General features: G+C 35.0%; 2 long non-coding RNA genes across 3 annotated transcripts in view; one reads left to right on the top strand and one right to left on the bottom strand.

Moving 5' to 3' along the window:
* LOC105370289 (uncharacterized) overlaps nt 1–7,859 on the top strand; it is a 159,166-nt gene extending 151,307 nt beyond the window's left edge. For both annotated transcript variants that reach the window (XR_942134.1, XR_942133.1), the window contains exon 6: nt 7,792–7,859. This is a non-coding gene — a long non-coding RNA (uncharacterized LOC105370289). The remainder of the gene's footprint in view (nt 1–7,791) is intronic.
* LINC00333 (long intergenic non-protein coding RNA 333) overlaps nt 1–15,191 on the bottom strand; it is a 466,167-nt gene that overhangs the window by 187,058 nt on the left and 263,918 nt on the right. The gene's annotated exons all lie outside the window — the stretch shown is intronic.

The raw sequence follows: 15,191 nt of genomic DNA, 5'->3' as shown, positions 1-15,191 counted from the left end.
AAAAATCCCCCAAAAGTTATTCTCAGTTAATTATTGTTCTAATGCATGATTTTATTAACTTTATATAGCATTTTCTTTTATAAATGTGAATTTTAAATCTAATGCCTTCTTACCAGATATTATGCAATTTGCCATTTTTGTGTATTATAATTACTAAAAAATATGCTTATATACAAAGCTCTCTAAATATTTCTAATTTTTTACTGATGATAATATTCTTGAAGAAATTACCCCTGAATTTTACATGAGCTATTGCTTTTATATTCATAAGACTTTCACAACAAAAATCATTTATACAAATTTAGAACTCTTTCATCATTGTTTGTTTGTTTGTTTATTTATTTAATGAGACAGAGTTTCACTCTTGTCGCCCAGGCAGTAGTACAGTGGCGCGATCTTGGCTCACTACAACCTCCACTTCCAAGGTTCAAGCAATTCTCCTGCATCAGCCTCCTGAGTTGTTGGAATTACAGGAGTGCACCACCACACCCAGCAAATTTTGTATTTTTAGTAGAAATGGGGTTTCATCATGTTGGCCAGGCTTGTCTTGAACTCCTGACCTCAGGTGATCTGCCCGCCTTGACCTCCCAAAGTGCTGGGATTACAGGCATGAGCCACCACGCCTGGCCATCATTGTTTCTTAAGGTCAAAAATGACCTTTTGTTGCCTAATACAACAGACATTTTCCCCTCTTATCTAAATTTGAATTCTTAGAGCATTGCAAGCAATTAACTGTTGAAACATGGTCTTCCAGTTTTAATGATATTTTATGAGTGTACTTTTCTCAGACAATAAAGGTGATTATTTGTTCATCTATTTTCTAACTCCTCTCCACCCTACTTGATGTCTAACTATCAAAATGCCTCAGGGCTCTCACTATACCTCTTCCCATCCCCATGTATATGGTATAGATATATGCTCATGATTACTAAAAGCACTTCCAGAGCCATTCTGTTAATTCCGAATTCATCTATAAGCTTTGCTTGATTCAACTACTTTGATGTCTTTGAGCTGTTTCAAATTTAATATGTCTGTTATGAACTGAATGTTTACTTTCTAAACTTCATATGTTGAAGCCCTACCTCCCAGTATAACAGCATTCGGATGTGGGGCTTTTGGGAGGTAATTAGAATTATACGAGGACATGAGGCTAGTACTTTCATAATGAGATTAATGCTCTTACAAGAAAAGACCAGAGAGTGTGTGCTCTCTCTCTCCGTCACTCATACTATATATATGAAGAAGAGTTCATGTGTGCTCACAGAGAGATGGTAGTCACATATGAGCTGTGAAGCTGGTTTACAGTGTAGTGACTGCCAACTTCTTTCAGTCCAGTGGGACAAAAGATTCATGCACAAAACATGTTACATGAAGTGGTTTATTATTTACAGATAGGCAGCAAAGGAAAATGAGAATTCATTTTGAGCTAGTTCCTCAAGACTCAGCAAGCTTCCTGGGGTGGATAAAGTCTTGCCTGCACATGTCCTACGTGCACCATAGCTGAGGGAGTCTAGGGAGTAGCATGCCCTGGGGTTTATACATCAGGTGTCACAGAAAATGCTGGGCAAATGTGCTGTTCCGGCCATTCTCTTTCCTATATCAGGAAATTAAGTTCCAAGCGTATTCTATAGTTATTCTTTAGAACAACAAATTAGAAAGTGGAGGAGAACTGGGTTGGTTCAATGCCACCCAGAGGATTGTCGTGAAAAAGCCAAGAGAAGAGGCCTGATGATAAAACCTACATTGTGGTTTGATCTTAGACATCTCAGTCTCCAGAATGGTTAGAAATAATTTTCTGTTGTTTAAGCCACCCAGTCTATGATATTTTGTGTTATGGTCGTCTAAGCTAGGTAAAACAATCTCTAAAATAATGTTCTTGATTTTTACTTCAGAGTGGTTCACCAGTATATTCTTAGTAAAGAGCAATAAAATCTACCCAGATACCAAAGTCAAGAATAACAGTCATGGTTTCCTCCACCCTCTGACCACTCACAACCAATTCAGCAGAAAACCTTGTCCTTTCTGACTCTGCAATATACTGATTCATTCTCCTTCTCTCCATCTCTGCTGATACCACTCTTGTCCAAGTCACAATTAATTCTTGGACTGTTGCCATGGACTTTTAACTGCTTTCTCCAGTGACTTTCCAATACATTCTTTACTGTGGAGTGATTTTTTTAAATGTAATTTACGTCATGTTGGTCACACCCTTTAAATCTTGTAATAGCTTTCCATTAGATTTTGAATACAATCTAAACTCCTTAACATGGCCTGGTGATCCAGGTCCAGCTTCTCTCTCCAACTTCATCTCTGAATACTTGCCCTTCCTCACTCAGCTCCAGTTACAACATTCTTTATATGTTTCTAGAACACGCTAGTCCATCTAAAGCACCAATGTCTTGCCCTGGCTACTCACTTCCTTTACCTGGAGTAGTCTTCTAGACTTTTGCCTATTCTTTTCTTTACTTTTGGAGATATAAACGTAAATAATCCTATGATGGCAAATATTTTCTGTGACCCCCTAGTGGAACCTTGCTTCCTTATCAATATAATTGGCCATTGCTTCATCTAGTTTTTTATTTGTTTTGAATATTCTCTTTTAATTTATACAATTTTTTGTTTCTCTAATTAGAGCATAAGGATAAGAGAGTAGAGCTTGTGTTTACCTTGCTCTTCTCTGTGAATGGGAATTTACTATTTATTATGGTGTCTGGCCAAGAGCATTGGCTTAAATTATTACATACAATAACTACGTGAGGGAATTTTTGTAGACCTTAACCAACAGTGAGTATTCACAAAAGACTTCTATTATAAAATCCATATATACAGAAATTTAAAAAAATCCCTAGACAAAGTGAAAATTAAAACAAAACTTACCGAAATATATGAGGCACAGCAAAAGTGATTCTAGGAAGGAAGTTTACAGCAATAACCACCCACATTAAAATGAATAAATATATCAAATAAATAATCAAACTCTATACATCAAGGAACTAGAAAAAGAAGAAACTAGGACCAAGTCAGCAGAAGAGAAATACTAAAGATTACAGCAGAAATAAATAAATAATAGGACAACAGAAAAATGAGCAAAATTACTGTTTTTTTAAAAAAAAAAGACAAATTCTTTAATAAAGAAAGAAGACAAAAGGAAATAAAAACAGAAATGAAAGACAATACGTTACAACAGATGTCTCAGATATAATAAGGACCAGAAGGACCTATTAGGAACAATTATATCTCAAAAAAGTTGACAAAATAGAATGGATGGATAAATTTCTAGAAACGTACAATATACTAAAACTGAATGAAGAATAAATTGAAGGCCTGAACAAAGCAAATAAGAGACGATGAAATGATTAAGCAAAAATCTCCAAATAAAGAAAACTTCAAGACTCAATGGCTAGATGGGTAAATTCTATCTAACATTCAAAGAATAATTGATACTAATTCTTCTTAAACACTCCCCCAAAACAGCAAAGGGAACACATTCAAACTCATTTTGTGAGGTCATTAGTACCCATCCCAAAGCTAGAGAAAGACTCCACAAGAAAGGAAAGCAGACCATTATGAATAACTAACATTCATACAAATATCCACAACATAATGCTAGCAAACCAAATGCAACAGCACATTAAAGGGATTATACACCATGACCAAGTGGGATTTATTTCTAGGATGCAGAAAGGTTCCGCATACACAAATCAGTCAATCTAATGGGCCACATTAACATAATGAAACATAAAAATGACATTATTATCTTAGTAGATTTATAAAAGGCATTTGACAAAATTCTATGTATATTCACCAAACTCTCAACAAAATAGGTATAGAAGGAACTTATTTCAATGCAATAAAGACCATATATGAAAAGCCCAGTGTTAAAATCATAAACAACTTTGGGAAAAATTGAGAGCTTTTCTTCTGCAATCTTGTACAAGGCAAGAATATACATTCTCACCACTTCTATTGCAGATAGTACTGTAAGTCTTAGCCAGAGAAAGACAGAAAAAAAATACATAAAAGGCACCCAAATTGGAAAGGAAGAATTAAAATTATCTCTCTCAGATGACATGAGTATATATGTAGGAAAATCCTAAATAGTCAACAACAATTAATGTTAGAACTAATAAAAAAATCCAGTTAAGTTGCAGCATACAAATTAAACATACAAAATTTAGCTATGTTTCTATACACAAACAATGAGCTATCAAAATATACCACGGACAATAGCAACAAAAATAACAAAATACTTAGAAATCAGCTTAACCAAAGAGGTGAAATATTTATACACTGAAAATTATAATACATTGTTGAAGGAAACTAAAGAAGACTCACATAAATGGAAAGACATCCTCTGTAAATGGTTTAGAAGAGAATTAATACTTTAAAAATGTTTTAGTATGCATACTGATCTACAGATTTAATGCAATTCCGATCAGAATTCCAATAACATTATTTCCAGAAATAGAAAAACATCTAAAAAAACAAGACCCCAAATACCCGAAGTAACCTTGAACAAAACAAAGCTGGAGACACCACACATCCTTATTTCAAAATACAATACAAAACTACAATAATCAGAATAAGGGAGGAGACCACCCCTCATATTGTCTTATGCCCAATTTCTGCTTCCAAAGAAAGAAGAAGTAAAAACTAAAAGGCAAAAATGAAATCCACAGGCAGACAGCCCGGCGCCACGCCCTGGGCCTGGTTAAAGATCGACCCCTGACCTAACCGGTTATGTTATCCATATATTCCAGACATTGCATGGAAAAGCACTGTGAAAATCTCTGTCCTGTTCTGTTCCATTCTGATTACTGGTGCGTGCAGCCCCCGGTCACATACCCCCTGCTTGCTCAATCAATCATGATTCTCTCACACGGACCCCCTTAGAATTGTAAGCCCTTAAAAGGGACAAGAATTGCTCACTCGGGAGCTCGCTTGTTGGAGACATGAGTCTTGCCGAAGCTCCCGGCCAAATAAAGCCCTTCCTTCTTTAACTCAGTGTCTAAGGGGTTTTGTCTGCAGCTTGTCCTGCTACAAAAACAGTAAAATACTGGCAAAAAATGGACATCTAGGTCAATGGAACATAACAGAGTCCAGAAATAAATCCATATATTTATAGTCAACTATCTCTTGTAAAGGGTGCTAAACACACAAAGGGAAAAGGATAGTCTCTTAAATAAAAGGTCCTGGGAAAACTGGATATTCACATGCAAAATAATGAAACTGGACCCTTATCTCACACCATATAAGAAAATCAATTCAAGGTGAATTAAAGACTTAAGTGTAAGACCTTAATTCATAAAACTGCTAAAAGAGGGCTGGGCATGGTGGCTCATGCCTGTAATCCCAGCACTTCAAGGGGGGAAGGCTGATGGATCACTTGAGCCCAGGAGATTGAGACCAGCCTGGGAAACGGGTGAAACCCCGTCTCTACCAAAAATACAAAAAATTAGCCACACATGGTGGTGCACACCTGTAGTCCCAACTAGGAGGCTGAGGCAGGAGGATCATTTGAACCATGAAGGTCAAGGCTGCAATAAGCCAAGATCTCCCCATTGTCCTCTAGCCTGGGAAACACAGTGTGACTCTGCCTCAGAGAAAACAAAAGAAAGAAAACATAGGAAAATGCATCTTGACATTAGTCTCGGTATTTATTTTTGAATATGAGGCCAAAAGTACAGGCAACAAAAGCAAAAATAGACAAGGGGGATTGATTCAAATAAAAACTTTTTACAAAGCAAATAAAACAATCAACAGAGTAAAAAGGCAACTCATGGAATGGGAGAAAATGTTTGTAAACTATATATCTGATAGGGGTTAATATCCCAAATATATAAGTAACACAAAGAATTCAATAGCAAATAAAGCAATAACCTGATTAAAAATTGATCTAAGGATCTGGATAGATATTTCTTAAAAGAAGACACACAATCGTCAACAGGTTTTTGAAGAAGTGCTCAACATCACTAATCATCAGGGAAATGTAAATCTAAACTACAATGAGATATCGCCTCACACCTTTTAAAATGGCTATTATTAAAAGGCAAAGTAAGTGTTGGTGGGTGAGAATGGGGAGAAGAGGGAACCCTTTCACACTCTTGGTAGGAAAGAAAATCGATACAGCCATTATAAAAAATAATATGAAGTTTCCTAAAAAATTTTAAAATAGAACTACCATATGATCCAGCAACCACACTTCCGGATGAATATACAAAATAAAATAATTCATCATCTCTGAGATATTTGTGCACCCTCATGTTTATTACAGCATTAGTCTAAATATCTAAGACATGGAAACAGGTAAATGTCCATCAATGGATGAGTAGACAAATAAAGTGTGGTCTATATGCATATTCAATGGAATGTTAATCAGAGTTTAATAAAAGAAAATCCTGCCATTTGTGACTGAATAGATGAAACTGGAGGACATTAGTCAAAACCAAATAATCCAGACACAGAAAAGCAAATACCGCATGACTGCAATTATGTGTGGAATCTAAAATAGTTGAACTCATAAAAGCACACAGTAGAATGGTGATTGCCAGCAGATAATGATTGGGGGAACCGGGGACATGTTAGTCAAAGGTACAAATTTCTGTTATTCAAGATGAATAAATTCTGGAGATCTAATGTACAGGATGATGACTACAGCTAATAATGTTGTATTGTATACTGGAATTTTGATAAGTGAGTAGATCTTAACTGTTCTCATCACACACCAAAAACAATGGTAACTTTGTGAGGTGATGGATATATTAACCAGCTTAATGATGGAGATCATTTCATAATGCATACATGTATCTAACATAAAGTTGTACATCTTAAATACATTTTTTATTTGCCAATACCCCAAAAAAGTTGAAAAAAATAATATTTGTTAATGACAATCCCTATAATTTGGATGAGAAAAATAAAAGTGGCATTTTTATTTTTATTCCAATTGCACTTAAATGTTTTATTTACAAATTGATCATTGATATCTCTCAGTTGCTCAGAGGTCTATATATTTTTTAAGGCTCTGTTAGTTATTTTTATTTTTATGCTGATAGGAAGTCTCATGATATTAATCTAATAATATAATAGTGTACATATAATGAACATTATGCTGAAATTTTCCATGTATATTTTACTATTCCTTCAAAACAAGTCACTGAATTTGATATTATGATTTTCCTCATTTTGTAGATGAGCAAACTGGAAACTAAGACAGGTTAAACCCCATGCCCAAGGTTACATAGCTAGTTTATAGACATACTTTACACTTAGATAGCTGCCTCTCAGAAAAGTCTACTAAACTCACTGCCTATAAAATGCATCAACACAATCTAAATATTATGTGCTAGAAACCACTAGTGCTGGTGTTATCAATATGCAAGCTCTCCTGTTCCTGCAAAAGCTACTATAGGTATTTTCCACCTCTCTTGAAGCTATTTGGAACATGAAGCTGTTTTCCAAATATGAATTGTGACGGAAAACAATGTCAATTAATTTGAAGAGGTTGTTAAGAAAATTTTCTATCCAATTGTTATCTATACCTGTAGGCTAAAAACTGAGGCAAAAGAAGGCTTATGAAACCACAAGGTTGAAGGATAATGGGTTCATGAATATCTGCATTCAATGGAGGCACCCCACACACACCTACTTTGAGCAGACACCACCCACACACCTACTTTGAGCAGAGAATGGAATAAATTTGGTACTAAGCCACAATGTTTCTGTGTTTATTTTAGAAGCTAAACCACCTAATTAAAAGTTGACATGTTGTAGTTTCTCCTCTGTTTTCAGGGCACACTTAACATTTTGTTCAACAGTGTTTGAAGGATAAAAATGATTCCTGCCTACGTGAAAAAAATCGTTCCATCATCATTTCCTCTGTTTTATGCTTTGAAATAAAAATTCTTCCCAACAGCAATAGTCATTTTCCTCATCTTTCTCAAGATATAACTTTTACTTTTAGGTCTTTAAATAATTCAATATTAAGGTATGAATTACTTTAAGATAAATCAACTTTTAAAAGAAAATTCAACAATGTTTTTCTTTAGACCATTTATTGAATCTTTATTTCAATAACCTTGGATTTGAATGTCACTTTTATGAAAACAAAATTATTGAAAAGTTTAGCCTTGTCTTTGTATTCTAGTCTATTGAGCTGTCTATAAATTCTTGCATCAATGTTATGCTATTTTATTTAACATATTTCTAATATACATTTTATTATTTATTTTTTAAATGCTGACAGTCTCATTCACTTATTTTTCTATACAAAGCTTAAATCTGTTTCTGAATATTTACAAAAACTCTCGGTTTAGAAATTTTAATTAAATTCTCAGTTAATTTAGAAAACAAAACAACCACAACAAAAACCTCTGTGTTGCAGATGTGATATAAGTCACATCTTTTTTCATTTGTTCAAATGTTTTATTACCATAAAAATTTTATATTTACTTATTATTAATATTGCTTTTGTGTTTCCAAATTCTCTATTTATTTCCTTGGATTTTTCCAGTAAAGAAATATGGCAATTGGAAGTACAATGTCTCCTTTTCTAGAGGTAGTTCATCTTGTAATACTTGTATTTGTGGTATATTTATGGTAATAATTCTTGCTGTGTCTCATAAATAATTGTTTCAGTATGGAAATAACAGCGTATAATCATTTCCTCTCCAAGCTTCATAGGTGGTTCTCCATTTTTTCTTTACTTAATTTTTTTTTCTTTTTTTGAGATGGAGTTTCTCTCTTGTTGCCCAGGCTGGAGTTGCAGTGGTACAATCTCGGCTCACTGCAACCTCTGTCTTCTTCTCTCAAGCAATTATCCTGTCTCAGCCTCCTGAGTAGCTGGGATTAGAGGCGCCTGCCACCATGCTCGGCTAATTTTTGCATTTTTAGTAGAGACGAGGTTTCACCATTTTGGCCAGGCTGGTCTCGAACTTCTGACCTCGTGATCAACCCGCCTTGGCCTCCCAAAGTGCTGGGATTATAGGCGTGAGCCACTGTGCCCTGCCTACTTAAATTTTTAAAGCTGATTTTGCAGAACAAAATATTTTCAGCATATATAGGTATTTTTTTCCTACCTGGCAAAACAGAATTTTTCCCTCATCTTTAAAATTCAAAATTTTTGACAAAATATGTTTAGTCATGTTGCTATTTTTTTCTGCAGTACTTGGTAAGCTTTTACAATTGTGCCAACTCAAAATTCTTCAGCTCAAGAATGCTAGACTTTTTTTTTCAATATATCTTGGATCATTGTTTATTTTCTTTTCTTCTGCTTTCTAATTTTGATTGTTTTTCAAAAGAATACTAATCTCATGCATATATATATTTTTTCAGAACTTAAATTTAATTTTTTAAATTTTTAAATTTTTAAATTTCATAGGTTTTGGGGGGAACAGGTGGTATTAGCTTACATGAGTAAGTTCTTTAGTGGTGATTTGTGAGATTTTGGTGCACCCATCTCTTGAGCAGTATACACTGAGCCCAATTTGTAGTCTTTTATCCCTCACTCCCTTCCCACCCTTTCCTTCTGAGTCCCCAGAGTCCATTGTGTCATTCTTATGCCTCTTCATCCTCATAGCTTAGCTCCCACTTATGAGTGAGAACATATGATGTTTGGTTTTCCATTCTTGAGTTACTTCACTTAGAATAATACTCTCCAATCACATCCAGGTTGCTGCAAATGCCATTAATTCATTCATTTTTATGGCTGAGTAGTATTCCATTGTGTGTGTATGTATATATATATATATATATATATATATATATATATATATATATATATAGTATATTGTGTGTATATATATATTCCATTGTGTGTATATATGTATACACACACATGCAATAGTACATAGTATTCCATTGTGTGTGTATCTATCTATTTATCTATCTATTTATGTCTCACAGTTTCTTTATCCATTCATTGATTGATGGGAATTTCGGTTGGTTTCACATTTTTGCAATTGTGAATTGTGCTGCTATAAACATCTGTGAGCAAGTATCTTTTTCGTATAATGACTTCTTTTCCTCTGGGTAGATATTCAGTAGTGGAATTGCTGGATCAAATGGCAGTTCTACCTTTAGTTCTTTAAGGAATCTCCACACTGTTTTCCATAGTAGTTGTACTAGTTTACATTCCCATCAGCAGTGTGATCACTTACACATTTTTTGTTTTCTTTTTTTGTGCATATCTTTAAGTTTCATGGAACGTTTTCATTTTCCCTCTTTTGATTTTGATTTTGAAACATCTAAATCAATAACTCAATTCTGATTTTTAACTTAGTATTGATATTTTTCATTTTATGTACTCTATCCTGCATTCATATACTATATGGTTTATGACTGTCTAATTTTATATGAGATCATTGAAACTTAAATATTAATGTAAATATATTGTTTGTTGGTGCAACTGTTTAGGTTCTTAAAAAGTCTGATTTTTGAGAATCTCATTTTAAAAAATTGGTTGTATTGCTGCATATCTGTTGCTTTTACTGTATTTATTTTCACAAAAGGAAATGTAATTTTCCTTTGTAACAATATTTAATTAGATTTAAATCATTCATGTGGGTTTTTTTATTCAAAATTTCTACATCATATAGATGCTATTAAATTTTGATTGTAACAGATTTTTTCTATTTAAAAATTTCATAACTTTTGGGAAACTGGTAAAATACAGAGATGTAAGTAGTGACATTATTAAATCAGTCTTGTGTTTTGGAGTTTAAGTCCCATTTATATGTTTACAACAGATTGTGTTTAGATTTCTGCTCTCCCATCTCATTTAGTTTCATGATGTGAAGCTGCCCCGAGAAGGGAGTTTTCAGGGACCAAATAAATAGACAATGAATTATAGCCCTTTAGAATTCAAAAACAAATTCTAGATAAAAGTATATTTTGAAAGTGTAATTGATCAGACATTTTATCCTCCTATCACCCATATCCTGTCCTTGACAGACTAAATAATGTCAGAGATATACAATATATATTAGAAAATAAAGAAAGATTTAGAAGGACTTTTGCCAAGTAGCTCTTCTCCTCGCTCACTAATTTAATGACAGGTTTAGTTCTTAAGCAGTGTGATAGTTTCCAATAACCATTTGAGAACCCCAAAATACATTAGGCTGTTCCTCCTTTTCTCTCAGAAAAGCTGAGAGGGAATTTACCCAGCATCACGGTGGCTTCGCCAAGTAACTAAATTTCCTGGAGAAAATGAAGAAGACACAGAATTGCACTGAGGAAAGAAACAATTATTCTATAGCAATTACAAATTTGTGATGAGGGGACTCTGTAGCATAAAAAGGCCTAGGTCTAAGATAGCAATATGATATACCAGCCCAACTCAGGTGCTTTCAAGTATGATGAGGGCACTATTAGTAATTAAGGTGGCTCAACTGGCATATACTATTCTAATAAAACCAAGATATATGGTTACCATACCGAGACTCCCTAGAAATAGAGACCTAGAGGGAAAACAGAGAATATTTTTATTTTCAATGAGGCAGATTGCCATATCTGTAAGTAAAATGCAATATTTAATAGAACAACTCCTGGAGTCATAGTTGGATATATGATAGAGACTTGAGTCTTTTGCTACTCAAAGTAAGGTCTTGCCCACCTGCATCAGTGGCTTCTTCACTTCTAAGAAATGAGAACTCTCAAGTTCCATTCCAATCCATTTAATCAGAATTTGCTCTGTAATAATCTGGGGTGATTTAAATACACTCTATTGTTTCAGAGGCACTGGTCAAGACACTATCTCCTTTCTCAATGCCTTAATGTAAACTCTTGCCCCTTATCTTTAACCAGAGGAAGATAACAGAAAGAGCGCAAGTCTCACTCCAAACTGATTGAGTTTACTCAAAGAGGAGAAATTAATCCAGCCTAAATGAAGTCTTAAAATAGTAATTAGGTTAACTCGCAGAAAAATAAATTGGTTTAATTATCTCAGAAAGTTTTATCCTATATTCATAATTTTTGTTATAAGAGCTGACAATAAACTAAGACAATATTCCTACATTTCTATGGTATAATTCATTATCTTTGTTTCTAGCTCTTTGCCTTATATGTATAGTTGGATCAAATTTAGGCTAGGTAGAAGTGCTACCAGGAACACTTACATAGATCATGATAAATTCTATACCCTTGCTGTTGATCCTTGTTCCTTAGAGTTAGAACTGGACTAGTAAGGATATTTTGGAATGGGTATCTCCTATCAAGCAAGCTGTTTTTAATTACAGGGAATTATTGGTTCATTAGCTTTTTCCCTAACCCAGTAGTAGCTACACAATATCTAGAACAAATTTTTCGAAAGTTCTCCTGCATGGATTTCTCTGTTTCCCTCTGCTTCTGTTTTTGTTTGTTTGTTTGTTTGTTTGTTTTTTAACTCTGCTTCTTTTGACAATGCCAGGCCTCTTCCCCCTCCAGTTTTATTTGCATTTTTATATTCAGGTCAGACTTGAAAAGAAGGATAGTTAAATGGACTAATAATTCATCCTTATTAGCCAGAAGTTCCCTTCAATTTTTCTTGGGAAGATATTCAAATGAAACAGAAATACTAGTGACTTTTCATGTCTACTTCATCCATACAAAGAACATGAGGAAGACAGGAGCTCATAGAGGATAGATGCAGATTCTGTAAGGTGAAAGGGTACAGAGATATAATGAGCATGCCAAACATACTTTGTCTAAATCATACTTGTGTTGAGTTATCTCTCCTCTGGCCAACTTAGACTCTAGGAAACTTTTGTGATGATTTTTCCTCTGCATTTATTCATAGAGGCCTTGGTGAACTGCCATGGTGAATCTTAGTGAAACTGAACTTGGATACAACCAGCCACTAAGAACAGTTTTAGGAAAGGTGTCGCAGGTTTTTTCTGAGTCAAGAAATATATTTCCTATTAGAGATATTTTATAGTAATGTTAGGATATGTTTTGTTTCATCAGGGTACAAGGTGTTGTTCAAATACAAAAGGCTGACTTAAAATGAACCACATGCTATGTAATGTATTTTGATGCTACATTAGAAAGGCCTGGCTGGGGCGGGTGCGATGGCTCATGCCTGTAATCCCAGCACTTTGGGAGCCTAAGGCAGGCGGATCACAAGGTCGGGAGTTCGAGACCAGCCTGACCAACATGGTGAAACCCTGTCTCTACTAAAAATACAAAAATTAGCCAGGAGTGGTGGCAGGCTCCTGTAGTCCCAGCTAATCAGGAGGCTGAGGCAGGAGAATGGCGTGAACCAGGGAGGCGGAGGTTGCAGTGAGCCGAGATTGCACCACTGCACTCCAGCCTGGGTGACAGAATGAGACTCCGTCTCAAAAAAAAAAAAAAAAAAGAAAGGCCTGTCTGATGGTGTTGAGAAATCTAATATCACTGAAAGAGCATGCTTGCAGGTATTGTAAGTTTGGATATTAAGTGCTAAGAACACTTCAGTTTAATGAGTGAAGAAATTATCTTGTCACTAAGAGGATACTTTAAGCCAATAACTACGGAACAATATAGTTTTGAGTGAAAATGATTATTTCCCGTGAGAAACATAAAAACAGAACATTTAAGAATATAACTCACATTCGCCAGGCGTGGTGGCTCACGCCTGTATTCCCAGCACTTTGGGAGGCCGAGGCAGGTGGATCACAAGGTCAGGAGCTCGAGACCAGCCTGACCAACATGGTGAAACCCTGTCTCTACTAAAAATAAAAAAATTAGCCGGGCATGGTGGCGCACACCTGTAATCCCAGCTACTTAGGAGGCTGAGGCAGGAGAATCGCTTGAACCCAGGAGGCGGAGGTTGCAGTCAGCAGAGATCGCGCCACTACACTCTAGCCTGGGTGACAGAGTGAGACTCTGTCTCAAAAAAAAAAAAAAAAAGAACATAACCTACATTAGATCTTTTTTCAAATCACGCATGGATTTTTAAATATTTCTCCAAAGTAGTCGACAATTTACTTTTTATGAAGTTATAACACAGGTCATTAGATTAACCATCATTTCTGCCAACATGTTCATTCAACAAACAGGATCTAACTTTTTCATGTCTAACCTAGAGAAATTATGTGCTTTTTTGGAACTTTTTAAAATGAAAAATTAGTTAGGGGTTGCCTGAGGTTTAATTCCTTTGGATATAACAATTCATAGGGATGAAAACTGTACCTATGACTCACAAGAGTCTATGTTTCTAAGATTATAACTATTTCCTGTCATGTGCCATCTTGTGGGATGTAATATCAACAAAAGATATAAAAATCTGGGTATAAATGTAACTGCTAAAGGAGAGGGGGTGGTTACAAATTGGTTGTACTTTAGCAACTTGATGCTCAGCTTCAGCAAGGGCTACCTTTACAAGACAATTCTCACTGCTGTGCACCAAAGAGCAAGGAGCTGTATCTGGGGACCGCTGAAAAAATTTGCCAATACAAATATAAGTTCCTTTGCTTATATTATTAGGTAATACAAAATATTTTTGTTATAACAAGGGGTACTATTATTGGCATGTGACTTACTCACTTTTGAAATCTCAAAAGGCAGCAGGGATTTCAGAAGAGGTGTGGACCCACATGTAGAATGTTGTCTTAATATAGGTTCCTGGGTTTCTAGCTACCCAAGATATGACAATTTAATTCAATAGCGTTTTGTAGTCTGCTCAGGCTGCCATAACAAAATAACATAGACTGGATGGCTTAAACAATAAAAAAATAATTTTGTCACTGTTCTGGAAGCTAGAAGTTCAAAATTAAGGAGGCATCTGATTTGGTTTTGGTGAGGCTTCTCTTCCTGCTGTGGAGATGGCTGCCTTCTCACTGTGTCTTTATGTGACCTCTTTTCTGTGCATACACATAGAAATATCTCAGTACCTTCTTATTCATATATAGACACCAGTTTTTATAAATTTAGGGCCCTAAAATTATGGCCTCATTTAAACTTAAATGTATCTTTATAAACCCCATCTCTAATTACATTAGCATTGGGAGTTAGGACTTCAACATAAGAAGCTCTCAGTATCTTCTTATTCACATATAGACACCAGTTTTATAAATTTGGGGCCCCAAATTATGGCCTCATTTAAACTTAAATATATCTTTATACGCCTCATCTTTAAATACATTAACATTGGGAGTTAGGACTTCAACATAAGAAGCTTAGCAGGACACAGTTTAGTCCACAACAGAGACATATAGAATATTCCTTTCAGATGGTGA

The sequence above is a fragment of the Homo sapiens genome, chromosome 13, assembly GCF_000001405.40.
Source record: "Homo sapiens chromosome 13, GRCh38.p14 Primary Assembly".
NCBI classification, from domain to species: domain Eukaryota; kingdom Metazoa; phylum Chordata; class Mammalia; order Primates; family Hominidae; genus Homo; species Homo sapiens.
The sequence above is the reverse complement of the archived record's forward strand: the minus strand, read 5'-3'. Positions and strand labels throughout refer to the sequence as shown.